At 46.1% G+C, this 22,962-nt stretch overlaps 1 long non-coding RNA gene across 1 annotated transcript; it reads right to left on the bottom strand.

The window, feature by feature from the left end:
• Nucleotides 1-4,016: 4,016 nt before the first annotated feature.
• On the bottom strand, nucleotides 4,017-10,852 carry LINC00279 (long intergenic non-protein coding RNA 279). The gene is made up of 4 exons (NR_138045.1): nucleotides 10,740-10,852; nucleotides 4,819-5,014; nucleotides 4,225-4,467; nucleotides 4,017-4,092 (listed from the first exon to the last, which is right to left on the bottom strand). It is a non-coding gene; the product is annotated as a long intergenic non-protein coding RNA 279 (long non-coding RNA).
• Nucleotides 10,853-22,962: the final 12,110 nt, after the last annotated feature.

Raw genomic sequence — 22,962 nt, 5'->3', positions numbered from 1 at the left:
GAGTCACCTCTGGAGTTCACTAAAGCAACCATGGTAGAAGCTCCCTGGTGTCTACTGCAATGCATGACTGCCACATTTTGGGGTTTCCATACTGTTTCTAATAATTGCACAATTTCTTGCTGATGTTTTATGTACTTTCCTTCAGAGTTTAACAGGACCTTTACTTTTATAATGCTCCATGCGCTTGGAGGGATAAGAAGTCACACCGAGAGTCAGTGTAAATGTTTACAGTCTTACCTTCACTGAGTTCCAAGACCTGAATTAAAGCAATGAGCTCAGCTTTCTGGGCTGAAGCATCCTGGGGCAAGAGTATGGCCTCCATGACAGTGTCCAGGGTCACCACTGCATATTCTGCATACCTTTCTCCTTGTGGGTTGACAAAATTCTTACCCTCCAAGTACAAATCCTAGTCCACATATGCCCAAGGCTTGTTCCACATGTCAGGTATTCTAGAGTAAACTGAGTCCAACACCTTCACACAGTTATCCTCAACTGGGCTTTCTGATACTGGAAGCAAGGTGGCAGGGTTCAGGTTGTTACAAACTTCAATGGTTATGCGGGGATTTTCACAGAGCAAGATTTGGTACCTAGTCTACCATTCTTTATCCAGTGATGTCCTTTTGTATTCATTAAAATCACCACAGCAAGGGGGGCCTTAATGTTCATGTTTTGTCCAAGAGTTAGTTTATCTGCTTCTTGTGCCAGCAGGGCAGTTACTGATAAGTCCCTCAAACATGATGCCCAGCTTTTAGAAACCCTGTCTATTTGTTTAGAGAAGTAGGCCATCAGCCTTTGACAGTTCATACTCGCAAACCCAGCCTGTTCCTGAAGTTTTTTTCTAATATCTTCTTTGCTTTGACTATCTAGAGTCATGTTAATCATGCACTAATTTTCAGGGCTTTCAGAATCAAAGAGAGTATACATATGATAGGCCTCACAGAGTACCTTTCATAAAATTATGCCAGACTCTCTTCTTTTCCTTGAATGACCTCAGAGACTTTGTTAACATTTGTGGCCTTCTGAGCTCCCTTCTTTAACCCTTCTAGGAGGGCTTTCCTATATCAGTTTAGCCTTTCTATACCTTCCCCTTATTTTGGGTTCCACATGCTCCTGGGGGTTTTTGTAATTGGCCAGAACACGTTTCTCCAGCCACTTGGTTGCCATCTAGAGCACTCTTCATCTTTCATCTGTGTTAAGGAGGTATATTAGCAACTGATGGCAATCAGTCCAAGTAGGATTGTGTGTCTGGATCACAGTTTGGAGCAAATCAATTAAAGCTTGAGGCTTTTCAGTATAAGATGGGGTACTGCTTTTTCAAATTAGGAGATCAGCAGAGGTAAAGTGTCGATACACAGAGGCATGCCTTTCCACCATATGCCCATGCTCATCTACCCCAGTATACCACTGTTCCTTCAGGGGCCTTTGTATTCCAGTCTTATGTTGTAAATGAGCTGCCAAAGGCGGGGTTCCTCCCGTGGCTTCACATCTTCTTTTGTCTACTCTGGGTGGCCTAGGGATGTGTGTGTCCTGCAGAGGCACACGTGCTGTGGGCAGTCTCTCTTCTTGGTGAAGAAGGCCATAACTGGTGCCATTTCCTGCCATGGGTCTTCTGATATTGGGTCAGACTGAAATTTAGGAGCCAACTTCCCTCATCAGGTGGAGCCCAATCCTTCCTTGGATATATGTCGCTTTGCCACTAACACTGCTTCTGCTGCCTGACCTCTTAACTACTGTGGAGGTTCTAAAACCAGCCTTAACCAGTGTCTATGTACAGAAACAGGTCTGGATGCCCTGGCTTACAGGTTATCTTGTGCTATAACTTTGAAACAAGGGACCTATCTAGGCTTCCTTCTGACAGCCAAACCACTTCTAATGCTGGCCAGTCTATCTCACACAAAGTTCTAAGTATCCTTGATATAGTAACTCCATAGTCTCCTTTAAATCCCTTCTTGAAATTTTTCAACATAGTTCCTAGTGGGGTGGGCTTACTTTTTGTCTGAACCATTTTTCTCCTGAGACAAGACAACATTTGCACTGCAAGGGGGAAAGGGCAAAGGTCACTTACACATCTAATTCATTACATCAAGTAAATGAAGCCAAGTCCAAATCAAAACCAAAACCAAAGTGCTGATAAAGTCATGCCATGGGTGATCAGGCCACGCTTTCACTCAAATGGAGTTGGTAAATTCTCAAGACCAGTCTTATCATGTTCCAGATGTCTGTACTCCAAGTGCCAGTTCCCTTAGGGCATGCAGCCACAGTGTCAATACTCTGTGGGGGCCTGCTGTGCACTGCTCTGGCAAGGTGTTCCACTACGGTAATTGCTTACACGGGAGCACTCTCAGGATCCCCGTTTCTCAAGCTGGCCAAAGCCCAGCACAAGCATGCTCTACAGGGCAGGCCTAAGCCACCTAAGAGGCTGCATCGACTGTCCACTAATCAGTTCACTTACACGTAGGGGAATCACAAAATGTAGCAGAACAAGCTGTGGACAAAACCCTTCAGATACCATGTTAAAGAAAGAAGTGGCTTCATTTGGCTGGGAGCATCGCAGACTTGCATCTCACAAACTGAGCTCCCCAATAGAGAGATTCCTGCCCCTTTTAAAGGCTTACAACTTTAAGGGCCCATATGAAAGGGCTGTGATTGGTTGAGCTGGCAGCGGGTATGTGACTGGGGTGGTATGCATCAATAATCAGGAAGGAACAGAAGAGAACAGTAGAGAAAGTTTCACAATGCTTCCTCATACAACGTCTGCAATCTATAGATAATACAAGCGCTTAGGTCAGGGACTCAATTTTAACTACCAGGCCTGGGGTGTGAGGCTGCGCTGTCTGACTATTGATCTCATTTTTGCCTTTCTTTAGCTTTTGCTTCTTCTTTCTTATTCTGAGTTATGAGATAATAAGAGAGGTGGTCTCCTTCCTTACCACCTAAACACTCAGCCATGGTGTGGACTACTTGTGCCATTAAGGAAAAGTGGGGATGGAGTTGGAAGCACTTTTTGTATCATCTGTCTTCATTTTTTTTGCAGGTGAAGTTGTGGGACCCCATCCACCAATCACCAGGTTGTTTCCTCACCCCATCTGACCTTATTGCTGCTTACACTCTGTCCCAGCATGAAATATCAAGATGATGGAGAAGTGCCCCCTCCCTACATGAAGCACCTGGTCAGCTGGAAACTGAATTTGATGTGACTCCAAGGAGTCCTGCTGACAGAACTGCCAGTGTCTCTTGCTGGGTTGGCCTAAGGACAATGAAACACTGGAAGATGTCCCTTTTTTGGTGTGATATGCTACTCTTCTTTCTACAAGAGTGGCTTTTTTTTCTTTTTTCATGGGGCAGAGTTTTGGAGGCCTGAGAGTCTTGGTCCCCTCCCAATACATTGCAGTCCATGATCCACAGAAAAATAAAGAACATGGAACCCCACAGCCCAAGAAGAGCCACACAGGAAGGCCACCAAAATGTTAGAATACTCAGAAAAAAAAATCCAAGAAGTGCGTTAGCCACATTTCTTTAAGCAGACTTCACTTACAGGCACACACACACACAAACACAATAGCACACACACACAGACATCCAACACTCATAACATTCCCACAGAAACACACAGCCTGGCAGTTTCTGAGACTCTGTGGTTTTGTAGGAAGACCCAACTATGAAAGAGCAACCACGGGAGACACAGATGGGCTGTACCTAAAAATCACAGTATGGAAAGTTTCAAAAATACTCACACCTACAAAGTCTAGGCAGGAATGAGAAATCCTGTGAATCCTTTTGGATCCTTAGGGATTTCACAGTTTATTTCAGGGGCTCTGACTGACATTTTTTCAGGCTGGCTCACTTCTGCCCTCTCCTCTATTCATGGGATTATGGCATAGGTTCCAAAGAGAAGACAAATATGGGTCCAATGCCAAAGAACCTCGACGGATATTTTCTTCTCCACCAAGTTACAGGGACTTGTCACTAAACAATGGTGACATTCATTGTGATGCTAGTCAGAGCCCACATTCAGGCCTGGTGCCCTGAGACTAGCTGATGAGCATTCATGAAGCAGGCTCCGGTGCCCAGCTGTTAGAATTGTCAGCCAGCCTAAGCAGAGAAAAATGGTACAGGCAGAACTGACTTGATACCAGTAATAAAGCAGCCTGGGATAACCCATTGCTGGACCCTAAAAGTCTCAACTTCAGTGCCCTTTCTGGCTGTCTCCATGGTCAGATCTACCTGAAAGGGGAGGTGTTTCAAGACAGTGAGGTGTTTCCCAGAAACTGTTCTTCTGACTCCATTACCAAAAGAGACTGTGTACCAGAATCGGGTCCCATGGAGATTGGAATAAAATCTGGTGCGTTGTTGAGCATTCCTTAGGAGATAGAACCATACCTGAGACCCCAGAGGTGGGTGTCAGTGAAAGATGGCTGGGCTCTTTATCTCACTGCCTCCCTTCATCCTGAGCCTTGTAGCAGCTCTCTGGGAAAGACAGGAATTATGACAAAGGCAAGTCCAAAGTGGTGCAGTGTTCTCCCCCTTGGACTGGCCTCTCACAGGTGCAGATGAGGTTGAAATCGGGTCTCAGATGTTGTCTGTGGTGATGGCAAGCCTGAAAAGTGTGTCTAGTAGTGCTGCTGAGAGGCACTGTGGGTTCTCCATGGTAGAAAAGAAAAATCAAGGCTCACCTAAGTGAAAGACCTGTCTTGTGCGGCAGTCCAATTAATGTTCAATGATTCATGTCAGAGAACCCAAAAGTCTCCTGCAAAGTGCAAACAACCGCAGTCCCCACAAGGAGATAATGACCCAAAACCTGGAGAGCAGCCATCCTACCTGAAGTCTCTTGTGCTCTTTGAAATCCCTGGCAGCCAAATAATCTGTGGCAAGAGGCTGTTCCATCCAGCAGCAGACAATGAAAAAGCCCCTCCTAATGAGAAGACTTGCAGATGAAATACAACAGAGGCTTGATCACCATGCAAAAGCCAAAATAGGCTGTCTGTTTCTCATCTTACAGGAATAATGCAGCCCTCTGAAAGAAGTGAAAGAACAGGAATTTCCTAGTTGGTGGCTGCAATGGGAACTTATAGTTTTAAAAATATCAAAGTTGCCCTGTCATTAAAACTTGACGGTGTTTAGAATTAAACACCGTCGCAATGGATTCCCATAAGGCTCATTCTTTGTGAACTCGGAAATGTTCAGTTTGAAAGTCATTGAGCCAGACATAGAAAACACTAGCCCAATGAGGGACATGGAATTCAGGGAAAGAAGAGGCAAGTGTGAAGGCCACATTTCACCCAACATCAAAATATTTTACTCCCATTTGGCTCCAGGTATGAAAGCCCTTAAATCAGGAGTTTGCCAGGAAAGCTCCAACTTGCACTTCAAACGTTCCTTAAACTTTGGAGTATTCCCAACTGAACGCCAGGCCATGGAGTGGACTGCTTGTGCAATTAGGGGAATGCAAGAGTGGTTTCAGAAGCACATTCAGTGTCATGGGTCTTCATTTTTTTTGCAGGTGAGGTTGCTTGATCCCATCCACCCCTCACCAGAATGAATCCTCACCCCTACCTGACCTTACTGCTGCTCATTTTCTATGTCCTAAGATGAAATCTCAACACAAACGGAGGAGTGACCCCTCACTACATGAAGCACCTGCTCTGCTGGGAACTGAATTCGAGGTAACCCTTTAAAGGGGCCCTGCAGAAAGAACTGCTAGTGTCTCTCCCTGGGTTGGCCACAGCACAATAAAACACAGAAATGTTTGTCTTTTGGTGTGATGTCCTTCTCCTATTCCTAGAAGACTGGCTTTTTTATTATTATTATTTTTTGGCATAGGGAGGTGATTGGGATGGTGGCAGGTTTCAGCATGTGTGCAAATTCACTGTGGATTAATGACCTACAGAAAAATAAAGAATACAGAGCCTGCAGCCCAAGCAGAGCAATACAGACAGGCCACCAAATGGTGAGAGACTAAAAAAAGGGTGCTGAAATGCATTTGCCACAATTCTTTAAGCAGACTTCACTTACAGACAGACAGACACACAAACACACAATGCCACACACACTCAGACATCCAACACTCTCAACAATCCTACAGAAACACAAAGCCCAGCAGTTCCTGAGGCTGTGTAGTTTCTCAGTAAGCCCCAACTGGGAGAGAGATACCTCAAAGAAGAGATATGGGCTATACCTAAAAATCACAGCGGTGGAAGTTTCAAACAGACTCTCCCCTACAAAGCCTAGGCAGGCTTGAGGAATTCTACAGATCCATTTAAATCCATAGGGATTTCTCAGTTTATTCCTGGGGCTCTGCTTGCCATTTCTTCAGGCTGTTTCACTTATGTTCTCTCCTAAGATGATGAGACAATCACTTAAATCCCACAAAAAAGACAGTCGAGAGCCAAAGGCCAACTCACATCTAAGGAATTCTCCTCTACCAAGCTGCAGGTACTTGTCACTAGGAAATGGTGACATTCATTATGAGGCAAGGCAAAGCTCACAATCAGGCCAGGTGCCCTGAGACTAGAATACACACATTCATAAGGGAGGTTAGGACACACAGCTTTTAGAGCCATCATTCTGCTGAAGCAGAGGAAAATGAAACAGCCAGAGCCCACTTGGTATGAGGAACAAGGCTGCCTGTGAAAACTCACAGTGGGACGCTAAAAGTCTGGACCTCAGGGCATCTTCATGATGTCTCCTTAGTCAGGTGCCACTGGAGGAGGAGGCATTTTGATACTGTGAGGTGGTCGCTGGAAACTGCTCTTCTGACTCCATTCTGGAAAGAGACTGTTTTCAATAATCTGGCCCCATGAGGATTGGAATATAGTCTGGTGTGTTGCTGAGGGTTCTTTGGGTGATGGAATAATATCTGTGACCCTAGAGGTGGATGTCAGCAAAAGATGGCTGGGTACATGTCCTCACTGCCTCCCTGTATCCTGGGCCTCAAAGGGGCTCTCTGAGAAAGGCAGGAACCATGACAAAGGCAAGTCCAAAGTGGAGCAGTGTTCCCACTCCTTGAACTGGCCTCCCACAGGTGAAGATGAGGTTAAGACAGTGTCTCAGACACGGTCTGTGGAAATGGCCAGCCTGAAAATGGTGTCCCATGGTGTTGTTGAGGGGCACCGAGGACTCCACATGAAAGCAAAGAAGAATCAAAATCACCTGAGGCAATGAGCTGCCCTGTGCTGGAGTCCAAGCAATATTTAATAATTTTTGTCAGAACATTAAAAAACCTCCTGCAAAGTGCAAAGCCCCTCAGCCCCCATAAGGAGACAACAAACCACAACCTGGAGTGCAGCCAGCCTGCCTGTATTCCCTTTTTGCTCTCTGAAAACCCTGGAGACTAAATAATCTGTAAGGACAGGCAATTCCATCCAGCAACTGTCCAATAAAAGAGATTTTCCATAATGAGATGTCCGTGAAGATGAAATGAAACAAAGGCCACATTACCAGACAAAGGCCAGACACACCTCCCTGCTTCTCATCCAACAGGAATCATGCAGCTCTCCAACAGAAATGGGAGAACAAGAGATTTCTTGTTGGTGGCTCTAATGGGAATTAACAGTTTTAAAAATATCAAAGCTGCCCAGGTATTAAAAAGTGAGAGTGTTTAGAAGGAAACACTCTGGTAATATATTCCCATGAGGGTGTTCTCCATGAACTAGGAAATGTTTAGTGTGGAACTCATTGAGCCAGACCCAGGAAACCCTACGCCAATGAGAAACATAGAACTCAGGAAAATAAGAGGGAAGTGTACCAGCCACATCCCACAAAGAATCAATGAATTCCATTCCCATTTGTTTTCAGGTATGAAAGCCCTCAAATCGGGAGTTTGCCAAAGTGGCCCTGACTTGCACTCCTATTGTTCCTTGTACGTTGGAGTACTCCCAACTAAAAACTGAGCCACAGTGTGGACTGCTTGTGCAATTAAGGGAATGCAGGCATGGAGTTGGGAGTACCTTCTGTGTCCTCTGTCTTCATTTTTTTTTTGGAAGGTGAAGTTGTGGGACCCCACCCACTCCTCACCAGATTGTATCTTCACCCCATCTGAGCATGCTGCTCCTCATACTCTATGTCCCAGAATGAAATCACAAGATGTTGCAGAAGTGCTACCTCATGACATGAAGAACCTGCTCAGCTGGAAATTGAATTCTATGTAAATTCAAGGGTCCCTGCGGACAAGATTGCTAGTGTCTCTCTCCCTTGGTTGGTCACAGGACAATAAAACACTGGGAGATGTCTATTTTTTTTGGTGTTGTGTGTTTCTCATCTTTTTAGAAGATTGGCTTTTTTTGCAGGTGTAGATGATTTGGACACCAGTGGCTCTCGGCAACCCTCCCAATTCACAGTGGATTTATGATCCACAGAAAAATAAAAAACAGGGAACACTGCAGCACAAGCAAAACCACACAAACAGGCCAGCAAATGGCTGGGAGACACACAAAAAGAAACGCTGAAGTGTATTAGCCACATTTCTGTAATCCATCTCCACTTACAGGCCAACACACACACACACACAAAGACACCCTCACAAAAACACAATGCCACACTCATATGCAGATATCCAACACTTGAAACACTCTCTGAGACTAGCATATGTGCATTAGTGATGCATGCTCAGGCGCCTGGCAGTCAGAGCTGTCAGCTTGCCTAAGCGGAATATGGTACAGGAAGAGCCAGTCTGGTATCAGGAAAAAGGCTGCCTGTGATAATCCACTCCCAAATTATAAAATGTCAATCTTAAGGGTCCTTCAGGATGTCTCCATGTTCGGGTCCCTTTAGGGAAGGAGGCGTTTTGGGATGGTGAGGTGGTTGCTGGAAACTGCTCTTCTGACTGTGTTTCCTAAAGAGGCTGTGTGCCAGTATCGGGTCCCACGTGGTTTGCAATATAGACTTGGGAGTTGTTGAGGGGTAATTGGGTGATAGAATTATACCTGAAATCCCAGAGGCAGGTGTCACCAAAAGATGCCTAAGCCTTGACCTCACTGTCTCCCTTCATCTTTGCCCTAGCACAAGAGATCTTGGAAAGACAGGAACCATCATAAAGGCAAATCCAAGGTGGAGCAGTGTTCTCACATCTTGAACTAGCCTTTTACATATGCAGATGAGGTTGAGACAGTGTCTCAAGAGGTCATTAGTGGTGATTGAAAGCCTGAAAACTTCGTCCAGTAGAACTGTTGAGGTGCACTGTGGCTTTTTCATGAGAGCAAATAAAAATCAAGGCTCACCAGAGAGAACAAGCTGTCTTGTGCTCGAGTCCAAGCAACATTCCAAGATTCCTGGAAGGGGATCCAAAAGCCTCCTGCAAAGTGCACACACCCACAGCCCCCACACAGACAACAACCACAACCTGGAACACAGCCAGCCTACCTGAAATCCCATTTGCTCCCTGAATTCCATGGCAGCCAAAGATGTTTAATGAGAGGCAGTCCCATTAGGCAAGAGCCCAATGGAAGACCCTCTCCACAATTAGAAGTGACAGGCAGATGAAATGAGTCAGAGCTTTGATCCCAAGCCAGGCAATGCTGTCTGCTTGTCATTTTACAGGAATCATGCAGTCCTCTGACAGAAGTGGAAGAATAAGTCTCCTTGTTGGCGGCTGTAATGGGAATTTATGTTTTTAAAGATATCATAGCTGCCCAGTCATTAAAACATGACAGTGTCTACAAGGAAACACACACACGCAGAGTGGAATCCCATGAGGATCGTTCTCCATGAACTGTGTAAACTTTAGAGTGGAAGACGTTGAGACTGACCCAGGAATCCATCGGCCGATGAGGAAGATGGAATTCAGAAAAAGAAGAGGCAAGTGTGGAGGGCACATTCCCCCCAGCATCAATACATCTCACACCCATTTTGCTTGAGGTATGAAAGTCCTCAAATCGGGAATTTGCCAGGAGGGCCACAGATTGCACTTCAAATAGCCCCTCCATGCTATAGTACTCCCATGTGAACACCAGGCCATGCTGTGGACTGCTTGTGCAATTAAGAGAAAGCTGGGTTGCAGTTAGAAGCACCATCTGTGTAATCTGTCTTCATGATTTTTGCAAATGAAGGTGTGGGACTCTATTTATCCCTCACCAGATTGTATCCTAACCCCTGTCTGACCTTGTTGATACTCATACTCTCTTTCACAGAATGAAATCCCAAGATGATGGAGGAGTGCCCCATGATGATGTGAAGCACCTGCCCTGCTGTAAACTGAATTCAAGGTAAATTCAAGGGGCCCTTCAGACAGGACTGCTAGTGTCTCACTCTGGGTGGCACTCACTCTGGGTGGCATGACAATGAAATACAGGGAGACATCTATTATTGGATGTGCATGCTCCTCTTCTTTCTAGAAGAATAGTTTTTTTGTTTTTTTTGTTTGTTTTTTTTTCAGTGGGAGGTAATTTCAACCAGGCTTGTCTCAGCCACCCTCCCAATTTACTGCGGATTCATGATCCAACAGAAAATAAAGAACACAGAGCACCACAGCGCAAGCAGAGCCACACAGACAGTCCACCAAAAGGTTGGGAGATTTAAAAAAATGTGCTGCAGTGCATTAATCACATTTATTTAAGCAAACTCCACTTACAGCCACACGCACACACAAAAACACGCAAAAGCAAAAAGCCACAGACACACACAGACATCCAACACTCACAAAACCCACAAAGAAAAACACAGCTTGGCAGCTTCTGAGGCTGCCTGTTTCTGTAGGAAGCCCCATCTGGGAGAGAGCAACCCCTGAGTATACAGGTAGGCTGTACCTGGAAATCACAGTGGTGCAGGTTTCTTTAGGCTGGCTCATGTCTGCCCTCTACTAAGATCATGGAACTATGCCGTGATCCCACAGAGAAGACAGGCGAGAGTCCACCGCTGACGCATCACCAGGGAAGTCTCCTTCTCTGCCAGACCACAGAGACTTGTCGCTAGGCAATGGTGACATTCATTGTGATGCTAGTGAGAGCTCACAGCTCAGGCCTGGTGTTCTGAGACTGGTACATACACATTCAGGAGCAGGCTCCAGCACCTATCCATCAGAGCTGTCAGCCTGCCTAAGTAGAGAAAAATGGTACAGGCAGAGCTGGCCTGGTATCAGGAGAATGGCTGACTGTGATAGCCCACTGCTGGAACCTTAAAGTCTTGACCCTAGGGCCACTTCAGGCAGTCTCCGTGGTCAGTTCCCACTAGAGGAGGTTGTGTTTCAAGATTGTGAAATGGTAGCTGGAAACTGCTTTTCTGACTGTATTCCCTATAGAGGCCCTGTGCAAGAATCGGGTCCCATGGGGAACAGAATGTAGTCTGGTGAATTGCGCAGGGGTCTTTGGGTTATAGTGTCATCCTGAGACCCCAGAAGCAAGTGCCAGTGAAAGATGGCCAGGCCCTTAACCTCACTGCCTCCCTTCATCCTAGGCCTTGCATGAGCTTTCTGGGAAAGGGAGGAATCATGACAAAGACACGTCCAAATTGCAGCATTATTCTCACACCTCGAACTGGCCTCCAATGGGCACAGATGAGGTTGAGACAGTGACTCAGAAGCCATCTGTGGTGATGGCACACCTGAAAAGCCTGTCCAGTATTGCTATTGAGGGACATTGTGGATGCCCCACGGAAGCAAAAAAAAAAAAAATCAAGGCTCACATAAGAGAAACAGAAGACTTGTGTTGGAGTCGAAGCAACGTTCAAAGTTTCCTGTCAGAGGACCCTAAAGACTCCTGGAAACTGCAAACAACCTCAGAACCACAATGAGAATATGACCCACAAACTGGAGTGCAGCCAGCCTGCCCAAAGTCCCTTTTGCTTCCTGAAATCCCTGGTAGCCTACAGAACTATGGCAAGAGGCAGCCTCATCCAGCAACAGCTTAATGAAAGATACCCTCCACAATGAGAAAGAATACGCAGATGCAATGAAATAGAACCTAGATTACTAGGCAAATGACAGACACAGCTGCCTGATTCTCATCCTACAGGAAACATGCAGGACTGCCATGAAAGCTGGAGAAGAAGAGTTGGCTTGTTGGCAACTGTAATGGAATTTACAGTTTTGAAATTATCACAGCTGCCCAGTCATTAAAATGATAAAGTATTTAGAAGGAATCACACAGGCAGTGGATTTTCTTGAGGGTCACCTTCTTGAACTCATAAATATTTAGCATGGAAAAGGTTGAGTCAGAAACAGTAAACCTGAGGCCGAAAAAAATAAATAAATAAGTTGGAAGTTAGGAAAAAAAAGAGGTAAGTGTGCAGACCACATTTCATAATGTATCAATCAATCTCACTCTCATTTGTCTCTGAGTATGAAACCCCTCAAATTGTAAGTTAGCCAGGATGTCTCCAGTTTGCACTTCATGTGTTCCCTGCACTTTGGAGTATTTCTACCTGAACAGCAGGCAATGATGTGGACAGCTTGTGCAATAAAGGAAATGTGGGGATGCTGTTGGAATCACCTTCAGAGTCATCTTCTTCACATTTTTTGCAGGTGAATATTCTGGACACCATCCACCCCTCACCAGATTTTATCCTCATTGCTACTTGACCTTATTTCTGCTCACACTCTCTATCCCAAAATGAAATCCAAAGACAATGGAAAAGTGTCCACTCACGAAGTGAAGCACCTCCTCGGTGGGCAAAAAAAAATCGAGATAAATTCAAGGGGCCTTGCAGACAGGACTGGTAGTGTCTCTCTTTGGGTTGGTGGCAGGAGTATAAAATACTGAGAGATGGCTGTTCCTGGGTGTGATATGTTTCCCTTCTTCCAGAAGAGTGGGTTTTTTTTTGGCAAAAGTAGGTGATTTGGACCTTAGTATGTCTGAGCCTGCCTCCCAATTGACTAAATGTTCATGATTCACAGAAAAATAATGAACACGGATCCCCACAGCCCAAGCAGAGCCACACCGGCCACCAGAAAGTTGTGAGACCAAAAAAAGAAACTCTGCAATGCGTTAGTTACATATTTTTAAGCAGACTCCACTTGCAGTCACACACACACACACACACACACACACACACACACACAAAGCCACACACAGACATCCAAAACTTGCAACACTCTCAAAGAAACACACAGCCTGGCAGCTCTTGAGGCTGCATGGCTCTGCAGGAAGAACCTGAAAGAGTGCAACACCAGGGAAAACAGATGGGGAAAACAGGCGGGCTCTACCTAGAAATCAAAGTGGGGCAAGTTTCAAAAAGTCTCACCCATACAACATCTAGACAAGTCTGAGGAATCCTGCAGAAAGTGTTGAATCCTTATGGATTTTGCAGTTTATTCCTGGGACTATGCTTGAACTTTCTTCAGGCTGGCTCATGTCTGCCCTCTCTGAGGATCATGGGATGATCCCTTGGATCTCACAGAGAAGACAGTGAGATTGCACCACCTACACACCTCCACGGAGACTTCCTTCTATGCCAAGCCATAAGAACTTGTCGCTAGGCAGCAGTGACATTTATAGTGACTCTAGGCAAAGCTTATAATCAGGCCTGATGACCTGAGACTAGAACATGCACATCCTTGAGGCAGGCACAGGAGCCAGTCTGTCACAGCTGTTGGCTTTCCTAAGCAGAGGAAAAGAGTACAGGCAGAGCCAGCCTGGTATCTGGAAAAAGGCTGCCTGAGAAATCCCACAGCAGGACTCTAAAAGTCTGGACCACAGGGCCCCTTCAGGCCTTCTTTGTGGTCAGGTTTCTCTGTAGGAAAAGCATTTTGAGAATGTGAGGTGGTCTCTGGAAACTGCTCTTCTGACTCCATTCCCTGAAGATATTGTGTGCAAGTATCTGGTCCCATGGGGATTGGCATACAGTCTGGTGTGTTGTTGAGGGTTCTTTGGGTGATAGAATTATACCTGAGGCCCAAGAGGCAGGTTCCAGCCAAAGATAGCTGGACTTTTGACTTCACTACCTCGCTTCATGTTGGGCCTTGCAGGGGTTCTTGGGGAAAGAGAGAAACAACGGCAAGGCAAGTCAAGGGGGAGCACTGTTCTCACACCTAGGACTGGCTTCTCACATGAGCAAATGAGGTTGAGAGTGTCTCAGAGGCTGTCTGTGCAGATGGCAAGCCTGAAAAAGTTTTCCAGTAATGCTGTTGAAGGGCACTGTTGATTCCCCGTAAAAGCAAGCAAAAATAAAGGCTCACCTGAGAGAAGGATCTGCCTTGTGCTGGAGTCCAAGCAGTGTTCAATGATTCCTGTCAGAGGACCCAATAGTCTCCTGTAAAGTGCAAACAATCTCACCCCTAACAATGAGACGATGACCCACAACATGAAGCCCAGCTAGCCTACCCAAAGTCCCTTTTGCTTTCTGAAATCCCTGGCAGCTAAATAATCTATGACGAGAGGCAGTACCATCAAGCAACAGCTCAATGAGAGAGCCCCTGCAATATGAGAAGGCCATACAGATGAAATGAAACAGAGGCTAGATTACCAGAAAAAAGATAGACATGTCTGACTGCTTCTTATCTTACAGGAATCATGCAGCCCTTTAATAGAAGTGGAAGAACAAAAGTTTCTTTGTTGTGGCTGTAATGGGAATTTATGGTATTAAATGTATCAAAGCTGCCCAGTCATTAAAACGTGACAGTGTTTATAGAGAAACACTCACATCATGAATGCCTTTGAGGGGACTTCTTTGTTAACTGGAAAACTTTCAGCGTGGGTGTCACGTAGCCACTTAGGAAACCCTAGGCCAATGAGGAACACGAAAGTCATGAAAAGGAGAGGCAAGTGTGTAGGCCACATCCCACCGATCATCAATGCATTCCACTTCATTTAGTTACAGGTATGGAAGTGCTCAAATCGGGAGTTTGATAGGATGCCACAAGTTTGCACTCCAAATGATAATTGGACATTGGAGTATTCCTGCCTGAACACTGAGCCATGATGTGGGATGGCTTGTTCAATTAAGTAAATGTGGGAATGGATTTGGAAGCACCTTCTATGTCATCTATCTTCATGTATTTTACAGGTGAAGTGGACCCTATCCATGCCTCATCAGATTGTACCCCCGTCCATATCTCACCTTATTTCTTCTCACACTCTCTATCCCAGGATGAAATCCCAAGATGACGGAGGAGTGCCCCCTCACACAATGAAGCACCTGTTCAGCTGGGAACAGAATTTGAGGAAATTCAAGGGGCCCTGAGGACAAGACTGCTAGTGTCTCTCTTTGGGTTGTCTGCAAGACAATAAAACACTAGGGAATGCCTCTTTATTGATGTGGTGTTCTCCTTTCTAAAACAGTGGCTGTTTTTGCGAGGGAAAGTGATTTAGACACTGACAGGCCTCAGCTGGCATTCCAATTCACTGTAGATTTATGATCCATAGAAAAAACAAACAAACAAACAAACCAAAAAAAATGGAGTCCCACATCCCAAGCAGAGCCACACAGACAGGCCACCAAAAGGTTTTCAGACTCAAAAGAAGAAGAAGAAGAAAGAGAAGGAGAAGGAGAAGGAGAAGAAGAAGAAGAAAAGAGGAAGAAGAAGAAGAAGAAGAAGAAGAAGAAGAAGAAGAAGAAGAAGAAGAAGAAGAGCAGAAGCAGAAGCAGAAGAAGCAGAAGAAGAAAGAAGAAAGAAGAAGAAGAAGAGGAGGAGGAAGAAGAATAGAAAGAGGAAGAAGAAGAGGAAGAAGAAGAAGAGGAGGAGGAGGAAGAAGAGGAAGAGGAAGAAGAAGAGGAAGAAGAAGAAGAGGAAGAAGAGAAAGAAGAAGCTCTGAATCGAGTTAGCCATATTCCTTTAAGCAGACTCCACTTACAAGCACACACACACAAACACACAATGCCACACACACGCAGACATTCAACACTCACAACATCGCCACAGAAACACACAGCCCAGCAGCTCCTGAGGCTGCCTAGTTCTGCAGGAATCCCCAACTTGGAGAGAGCAACCATGGAGAACACACTCGGGTTGTACCTGAAAATAACAGAGGTGCAAGTTTCATAAACACTCACCGCTACGATGTGTAGGCAGGCCTGAGAAATCCTGCAGATCTTTTTGGATCATTAGGGATATTGCGGTTTATTCCTGAGGCTATGGCTGCCGTTTCTTCAGGCTGGCTCACGTCTGCGCTCACCTAGGATGATGGGACTATCCCCTGCATCCAACAGGTGAGAGTCCACCACTGACGCACCTCCACAGAGGTCTCTTTCTCTGCCAAGCCGCAGGAAATTGTCGCTAGGCAAAAGAGACAATCTTTACGAGTCTAGGCAGTGCTGATAATCAAGACTGGTTCCCTGAGACTAGTGCATGCGCATTCGTGAGGCAGGCTCGTGCTCCAGTCTGTCAGAGCTGTCAGCCTGCCTAAGCAAAGGAAGGCGGTATACTCAGAGCCGGTTTGGTATCGGGTAAAAGCCTGCCTGCGAGAACCAACTGCGGGACCCTAAAAGTCTCGACCTCAGGGCCCCTTGGAGCTGTATTTGTAGTTGGGTCCCACTGGAGAAGGACGTGTTTCGAGACTGTCCTTTTGGTCGCTGGCAACTGCTTTTCCGACTCCATTTCCAAAAGAAGCTGTGTGTAAGAATCGCATGTTTCTTACGGATTGCAGATTGGAATATTATCTGGTGATTCTTACTTATTGCTGATTGGAATAGTGTGTGGTGTGTTTTCGAGGGTTCTTTGGGTGATAGCATCATACCTGAGACCCCAGACGAGGGTGTCAATGAAAGATTGCCAGGCTCTTGACCTCACTGCCTCCCTTCTTCCTGGGCCTCACAGGGGCTCTCTGCAAAAGACAGGGACCACGACAAAGGCAAGTCCACGGTGGAGCAGTGTTCTCACACCTCTGATTGGCCTCTCACAGGTGCAGATGAGGTTGAGACGGTGTCTCAGGACTGTCTTTGGCTATGGCAAGCCTGAAAACTGTGACCAGTAGTGTTGTTGAGGGGCACTGTGGATTTCCCATGAGAGCAAAGAAAAATCAAAGCTTGCCTGAGAGAACGAGCTGTCTTGTGCTGGTGTCCAAGCAATCTTCAGTGATTCCTATCAGGAAACCCAAAACTTCCTGCAGATTGAAAACAACCTCAGCCCCCAGAATGTGACAATCACCCACAACCTGGTGTGCAGCCAGCCTACCTGAAGTCCCTTTTGCTCTCTGAGATCCCTGGTAGTGAAAAGTTTTTGTGGCAAGAGGCAGTTTCAACCAGCAACAGCCCAATTAAAGACCCCCTTCAACAATGATAAGGAATGTGCAGATGAAATGAAACAGACCCTAGTACCAAGCAAAAGACAGCCACTGCTCCCTGCTTCCATCCTGGAGAAATTATGCAGCTCTTCAATAGAAGTGGGAGAAAATGAGTTTCATTGTTGGCAGGTGTAACAGGAATTCATGGTTTTAAAGGTATCACTGTTACCCAGTCATTAAAACGTGACAGTGTTTAGAAGGAAACACTCACAGCATGTATATCCTTGAGGGTCATCATGCGTGAACCACACTTCCCAAAACATTTAGTGTGGAAAAGATTGAGCAAGACCCAGGAAACCCTAGGCCGATGAGGAACATAGAAGTCAGTAAAAGATTCAGCAAGTGTAGAGGCCACATCCCATCCAGCATCAATCCACCTCACTCCCATTAGGCTCCAGGTATGAAAGCCCTCAAATCTGGAGTTTTCCATGACAGCACCCGTTTGCACCCCAAATATTCCCTGCACGTTGAAACACTCCCTCCTGAACAATGGGCCATGGTGTGGACTACTTGTGCAATGAAGGGAATTTGGTGATGCAGTTTCCCTTCTATGTCATTTGTCTTCACCTTTTCTTCAGGTGAAGGTGCAGAACCCAATTTACCCCTCACCAGATTGCATTCTCACCCCTATCTGGCCTTATTGCTGCTCACACCCTCTGTCCCACAATCAAATCACAAGACGATGGAGGAGTGGCACCTCACAACTTGAAGCACCTGTTTGGCTGGGCACAGAATTTGAGGTAAATTCAAGGAGCCTTGGGGACAGGACTGCTAGTGTCTTGCTGTGCTTTTGCTGCCAGACAAGGAAACACTGGGAGATCTCTGTTCTTGGGTGTGATATGCTCCTCTTCTTTCTAGAAGAGTGGATTTTTTTTTCTATGGGAGGTGATTTGGACCTTGGCAGTCTCAGCCAGCCTACCAGTTTGCTGAAGATTCATGATCCACAGAAAAATAAATAACACTAGCCCCACAGCCCAAGCACAGCCACACATACAGGCCACAGAATCGTTGGGACACTCAAAAAAAAAAGAAAAAAAAAAAGAAGAAGAGGCTCTGCAGTGCATTAGCCACATTCTTTAAGCAGGCTCCACTTACAGGCACACAGACAAACACACACAGAAAAAAACCCGCAAAGCCACACACACACACAAACATCCCACACTTGCAAATCACCAACAGAAACACAGTGCCCAGAAACATCTGAGGCGGCGTGGTTCTGCACAAACTCCCATTTGGGGAGAGCAACCCTGGAGGACATAGGCAGGCTGTACCTAGTAATCACAGTGTGTTTAGTTTCCAAAAAAAAAATCAACCTGACAGTGTCTAGGCAGGCCGGAGTCATCCTGCAGATCCTTTGGTTTCAAACAACTTCTCTGACATCTGTCAACTTTTTTGCAGGTGAGAGTGCGGGAACCGATACACCCCTCATCAGATTGTATCCTGACTCCTATCTGACCTCAATGTTGCTCACCCTCTCTTTCCCAGAATAAAACCCGAAGATGATGGAGGTGTGCCCCCTCATGATATGAAGCTCCTGCCCAACTGGAAACCTAATTTGAGGTAAATTCAAGGGGCCCTGTGGACAAGACTGCTAGTGTCTCTCCCTGGTTGGCCACAGGACAATGAAACATTGGGAGATGTCTGTTCTTGAGTTTGGTGTGCTCTTTTTCTTCTAGAAGAGTGGCTTTTTTTTTTTTTTTTGCAAGAGGAGGTGATTTGGACCCTGGCATGTTCAGTCAGCCTTCCAATTCACTGCAGATTCATAATCCGCAGAAAAAATGATGAACAAGGATCCCCACATCCCAAGAAGAGCCACACAGACAGACAACCAAAAGGGTGTGAAACTCGAAAAAAAAAAAGCTACAGTGCAATAACGGCATATTTTTAAGCAGGGTCCACTTACAGGCACACACACACACACACACACACAAACACACAAAGCCACATACACACGCAGACATCCAACACTCAAAATACTCCCACAGAAACACACAGTCTAGCAGGTTCTGAGGCTGTGTGGTTCTGCAGGATGCCTCATTTTGGAGAGAGCAACCCCAGGGAACACATGTGGGCTGTATCTTAAAATCACAGTGGGGCAAGTTTCAAAAGAAGTCACCGCTATGACATCTAGGAAGGCCTGTGGCATCTGGCAGATCCTTCTGGGTCCTTAGAGATTTTGTGGTTTATTTCTGGGGCTGTGTTTGAGGTTTCTCCAGGCTGGCTCATGACTGCCCTCTCTGGGATCATCAGACTATCCCGTGAATCCCACAAGGAAGACAGGAAAGAGTTCCCCACTGTTGCCCCTTCAAGAAGGCTGCCATCTGTGCCAAGCAGCAGAGACTTGTCACTAGGCAAGTTGGCATTTATGGTGAAGATAGCCAGAACTCACTTCTCAGGCCAGGTGTCCTCAAACTAGTACATGTGCATTTGTTAGCAGGCTCAGGGGCCCAGCTGTCAGAACTGTCATCCTGCCTAAGAAGAGGAATATGTTACAGGCAGAGCTGGCCTGATATCAGGAAAAAGGCTGCTTGCGACACCTCACTGCAAGACTCAACTTTTGGGCCCCTTCACGATGTCTCCAAGCTCAGTCCTGCTGAAGTGGGAGGTGTTTCAAGATTTTAAGGTCTTCACTGGAAACTGCTCTTCTGACTTGATTCCCAAGAGAGGTTTTATGCAAGAATCAGACCCATGAAGATTGGAATATAGTTTGCTGAGTTGATGATGGGTCTTTGGTTGAGGCAATTATACCTGAGACCCCAGAGGTGGGTGTCAGTGAAAGAAGGCCAGGCCCTTGGCCTCAGTGCCTCCCTTCAAACTGGGTCTCACAGGGACTCTCTGTGAAAGCCAGGAACCATGACAAAGGCAGTCTGATGTGGAGCAGTGTTCTCAAACCTCAAACTGGGTTTTTGTGGGTGCACATAAGGTTGAGACTGTCTCAGAGGCTGTCTGTGCTGATTGCAAGCCTGAAAATTGTGTCCAGTAGTGCTGTTGAGGGGCACTGTGGACTGCCATGAAAGGAAAGGAAAATCAAGGCTCACCTGAGAGAATGAGCTGACTTGTGCTGGAATCCAAGCAACATTTAAAGATTTCTATCAGAGGACCCAAAAGCCTCCAGCAAAGTGCAGGTAACCTCAGCCCCCACAAGGAGATAACCACCCAGAACATGGAGTGCTCCCAGCCTACTTGACATCGTTTTGCTCTCTGAAATCCCTGGTACCAAAAGATGTGTGATGAGAGGCAGTCCCATCCAGCAACAGCCCAATGAAAGATCCCCACCACAAAGACAGAGGACATGCAGATGGAATGCAACAGAGCCATGATTATCAGGGAAAAGCCAAACTTGGTGGCCTGCTTCTCATCCTTCAGGAATCATGCAGCCCTCTGATAGAAGCAGGAGAACAAGAGTTTCCTTGTTGGCAGCTGTAATGGGAATTTGTAATTTTAAAAATATCACATCTGCCCAGTCATTAAAACATGACAATGTTTACAACAAAACACTCGCACAGTGGATTTCCATGAAGGCCATCCTCCGTGAACTGGGAAACGTTTAGTATGGAAGACATTGAGCCTGAACCAGGTAACCCTAGGCCCGTGAGGAACATGGAAGCCAGAAAAAGAAGAAGCAAGTGTGGAGGCCACATCCCACCCTGCATCAACCCATCCCATCCCATTCCCATTTGCTTCAGGGTATGAAATCCCTCAAACCAAGAGTTTGCCATGATCACCCAAGTTTGCACTACAAATGTTTCCTGCATGTTGGAGTACTTTCACCTGAACACCGGGCCATTGTATGCACTGTTTGTGCAATTAAGGGAATGTGGGTATGCAATTGGAAGCACCTTTTGTGTTATCAGTCTTTCCCTTTTTGCATGTGAAGTCGCAGGACCGAATCCACCACAGAGAGTAATCTCACCTCTCACTGTTCCTTATTGCTGATCACACTCTCTGCCCCAGGATGAAAACTCAAGACGATGGAGGAGTGCCCCCTCAAGACTTGAAGAATCTGCTCATCTGGTAATCAAATTTGAGGTAATTTCAAGGGTCCTTGCAGAAAGGACTTCTGGTGTCTTTCCCTGTGTTGGCCACAAAATAAAACACTGGGAGATGTCTGTTCTAGCATGTGGTGTGCTCCTCCTATTTCTAGAAGAGTGGATTTGTTTGCAGGGAGAAGTTGACTTGGCCCTTCGTGGGTTTCAGCCAGCCTCCTAATTCACTGTGGATTCATAAGTCACAGAGAAATAAAGAAGAGGGAGGCTTGCATTCTCAGGAGAGCCACACAGGCAGGCCAACAAAGTTGGGAGACTCAAAAGAAAAAAAGTGCTGCAGTGCATTAGCCACATTCCTTTAAGTAGACTCCACCTACAGGCAAACACACATGCACACACACACAAGTACACAATGCCACACACACACAGAAATCCAATACTTACAACACTCCTACAGAAACACACAGCCCAGAAGTTTCTAAAGTTGTGTGGTTCTGCAGAAAACCCCACCAGAGAGAGAGGGACCCCTGGGAACACAGACAGGCTGTACCTAGAAATCACGTGTGGCAAGTTTCAAAAAGATTCAAACTGCTACAACATCTAGGAGGGCTGAGGCATCCCGAAGATTATTTTGAATCATTAGGGATTTCATTATTTATTCCTGGGGCTCTGCTAGATGTTTCTTCAGGCTGGATCATGTCTGCCATCTCCCAGGATAATAGGAATGTCCCCTGTATTCCATAGAGAAGACAGGTGAAGGTCTACCATTGATGCAAAGCCAGAGAGGTCTCCTTCTCTGCCAAGCCACAGGGACATGCCATTAGGCAACAGGGCCATTATTGTGATGCTAGCCAGAGCTCACAGGTCAGGCCTTGTGCCCTAAGACTAGCTCATGCACAATCGGGAGGCAGGCTCCGGGGCCCAGATGTTAGAGTTGTCAGCTTGCCTAAGGAAAGGAAAATGGTGCAAGCAGAGCAAGAATGGTATCAGGAGAAAGGCTGGCTGTGATAATCCTCTGTGGAACCCTAAAAGTCTCCATCTTAGGGCCCATTCAGGCCCTCTCTGTATTCAGGTCACACTGGAGCATGAGGTATTTTGAGACTCTGAGGTTGTCAGTGGAAACTGCTCTTCTGACCCCATTTCGGAAAGAGGCTGTGTGGAGGAATCAGTTCCCATGGGGATTGGTATATAGTCTAGTGAGTTGTTGAGGGGCCTTTTGGTAATGGAATCATACCTGAGACCCCAGAGGCAGGTTCACCAAAGTTTGGCAGGGACCTTGTCCTCATTGCCTCCCTTTATCCTGGGCCTCACTGGAGCTCTCTGGGAAAGGCAGGAACCATGGCAAAGGCAAGTGCAAGGTAAAGCAGTGTTCTCACACCTCTAATTGGCCTCTCAAGAGTGCAGATGATATTAAGACAGTGTCCCAGAGACCATCTGTGTTTATTGCAAGCAGAAAAAGAGTGACCAGTAGTGTTGTCGAGGGGGACTCTGAACCTCCCATGAAAGAAAAAAAAAAAGAAAGTAAAGTTCACCTGAGATAATGAGCTGAATTGTGCTAGAGTCCAGGCAATGTTCAAAGATTCCTGGCTGAGGCACCAAAAGCCTCCTACAAAGTGCAAACAACAGATCCCACAACTAGATGAAGACCAACAACAAGGAGTGCAGCTAGATTACCCAAAGTCTCATTTGCTCTTAAATCCCTGGCAGCCAAAGATGTGTGGTGAGAGGCAGCCCCATCCAGCAAGAGCCCCATGAAAGATTCTCTCCACAATGAGAAAGGATGCGCAGATGAAATGAAACAGAGCCTAGATTACCAGGCAAAAGTCAGA

This window comes from Homo sapiens, chromosome Y, assembly GCF_000001405.40.
Source record: "Homo sapiens chromosome Y, GRCh38.p14 Primary Assembly".
In the NCBI taxonomy this organism is placed as follows: domain Eukaryota; kingdom Metazoa; phylum Chordata; class Mammalia; order Primates; family Hominidae; genus Homo; species Homo sapiens.
The sequence above is the reverse complement of the archived record's forward strand: the minus strand, read 5'-3'. Positions and strand labels throughout refer to the sequence as shown.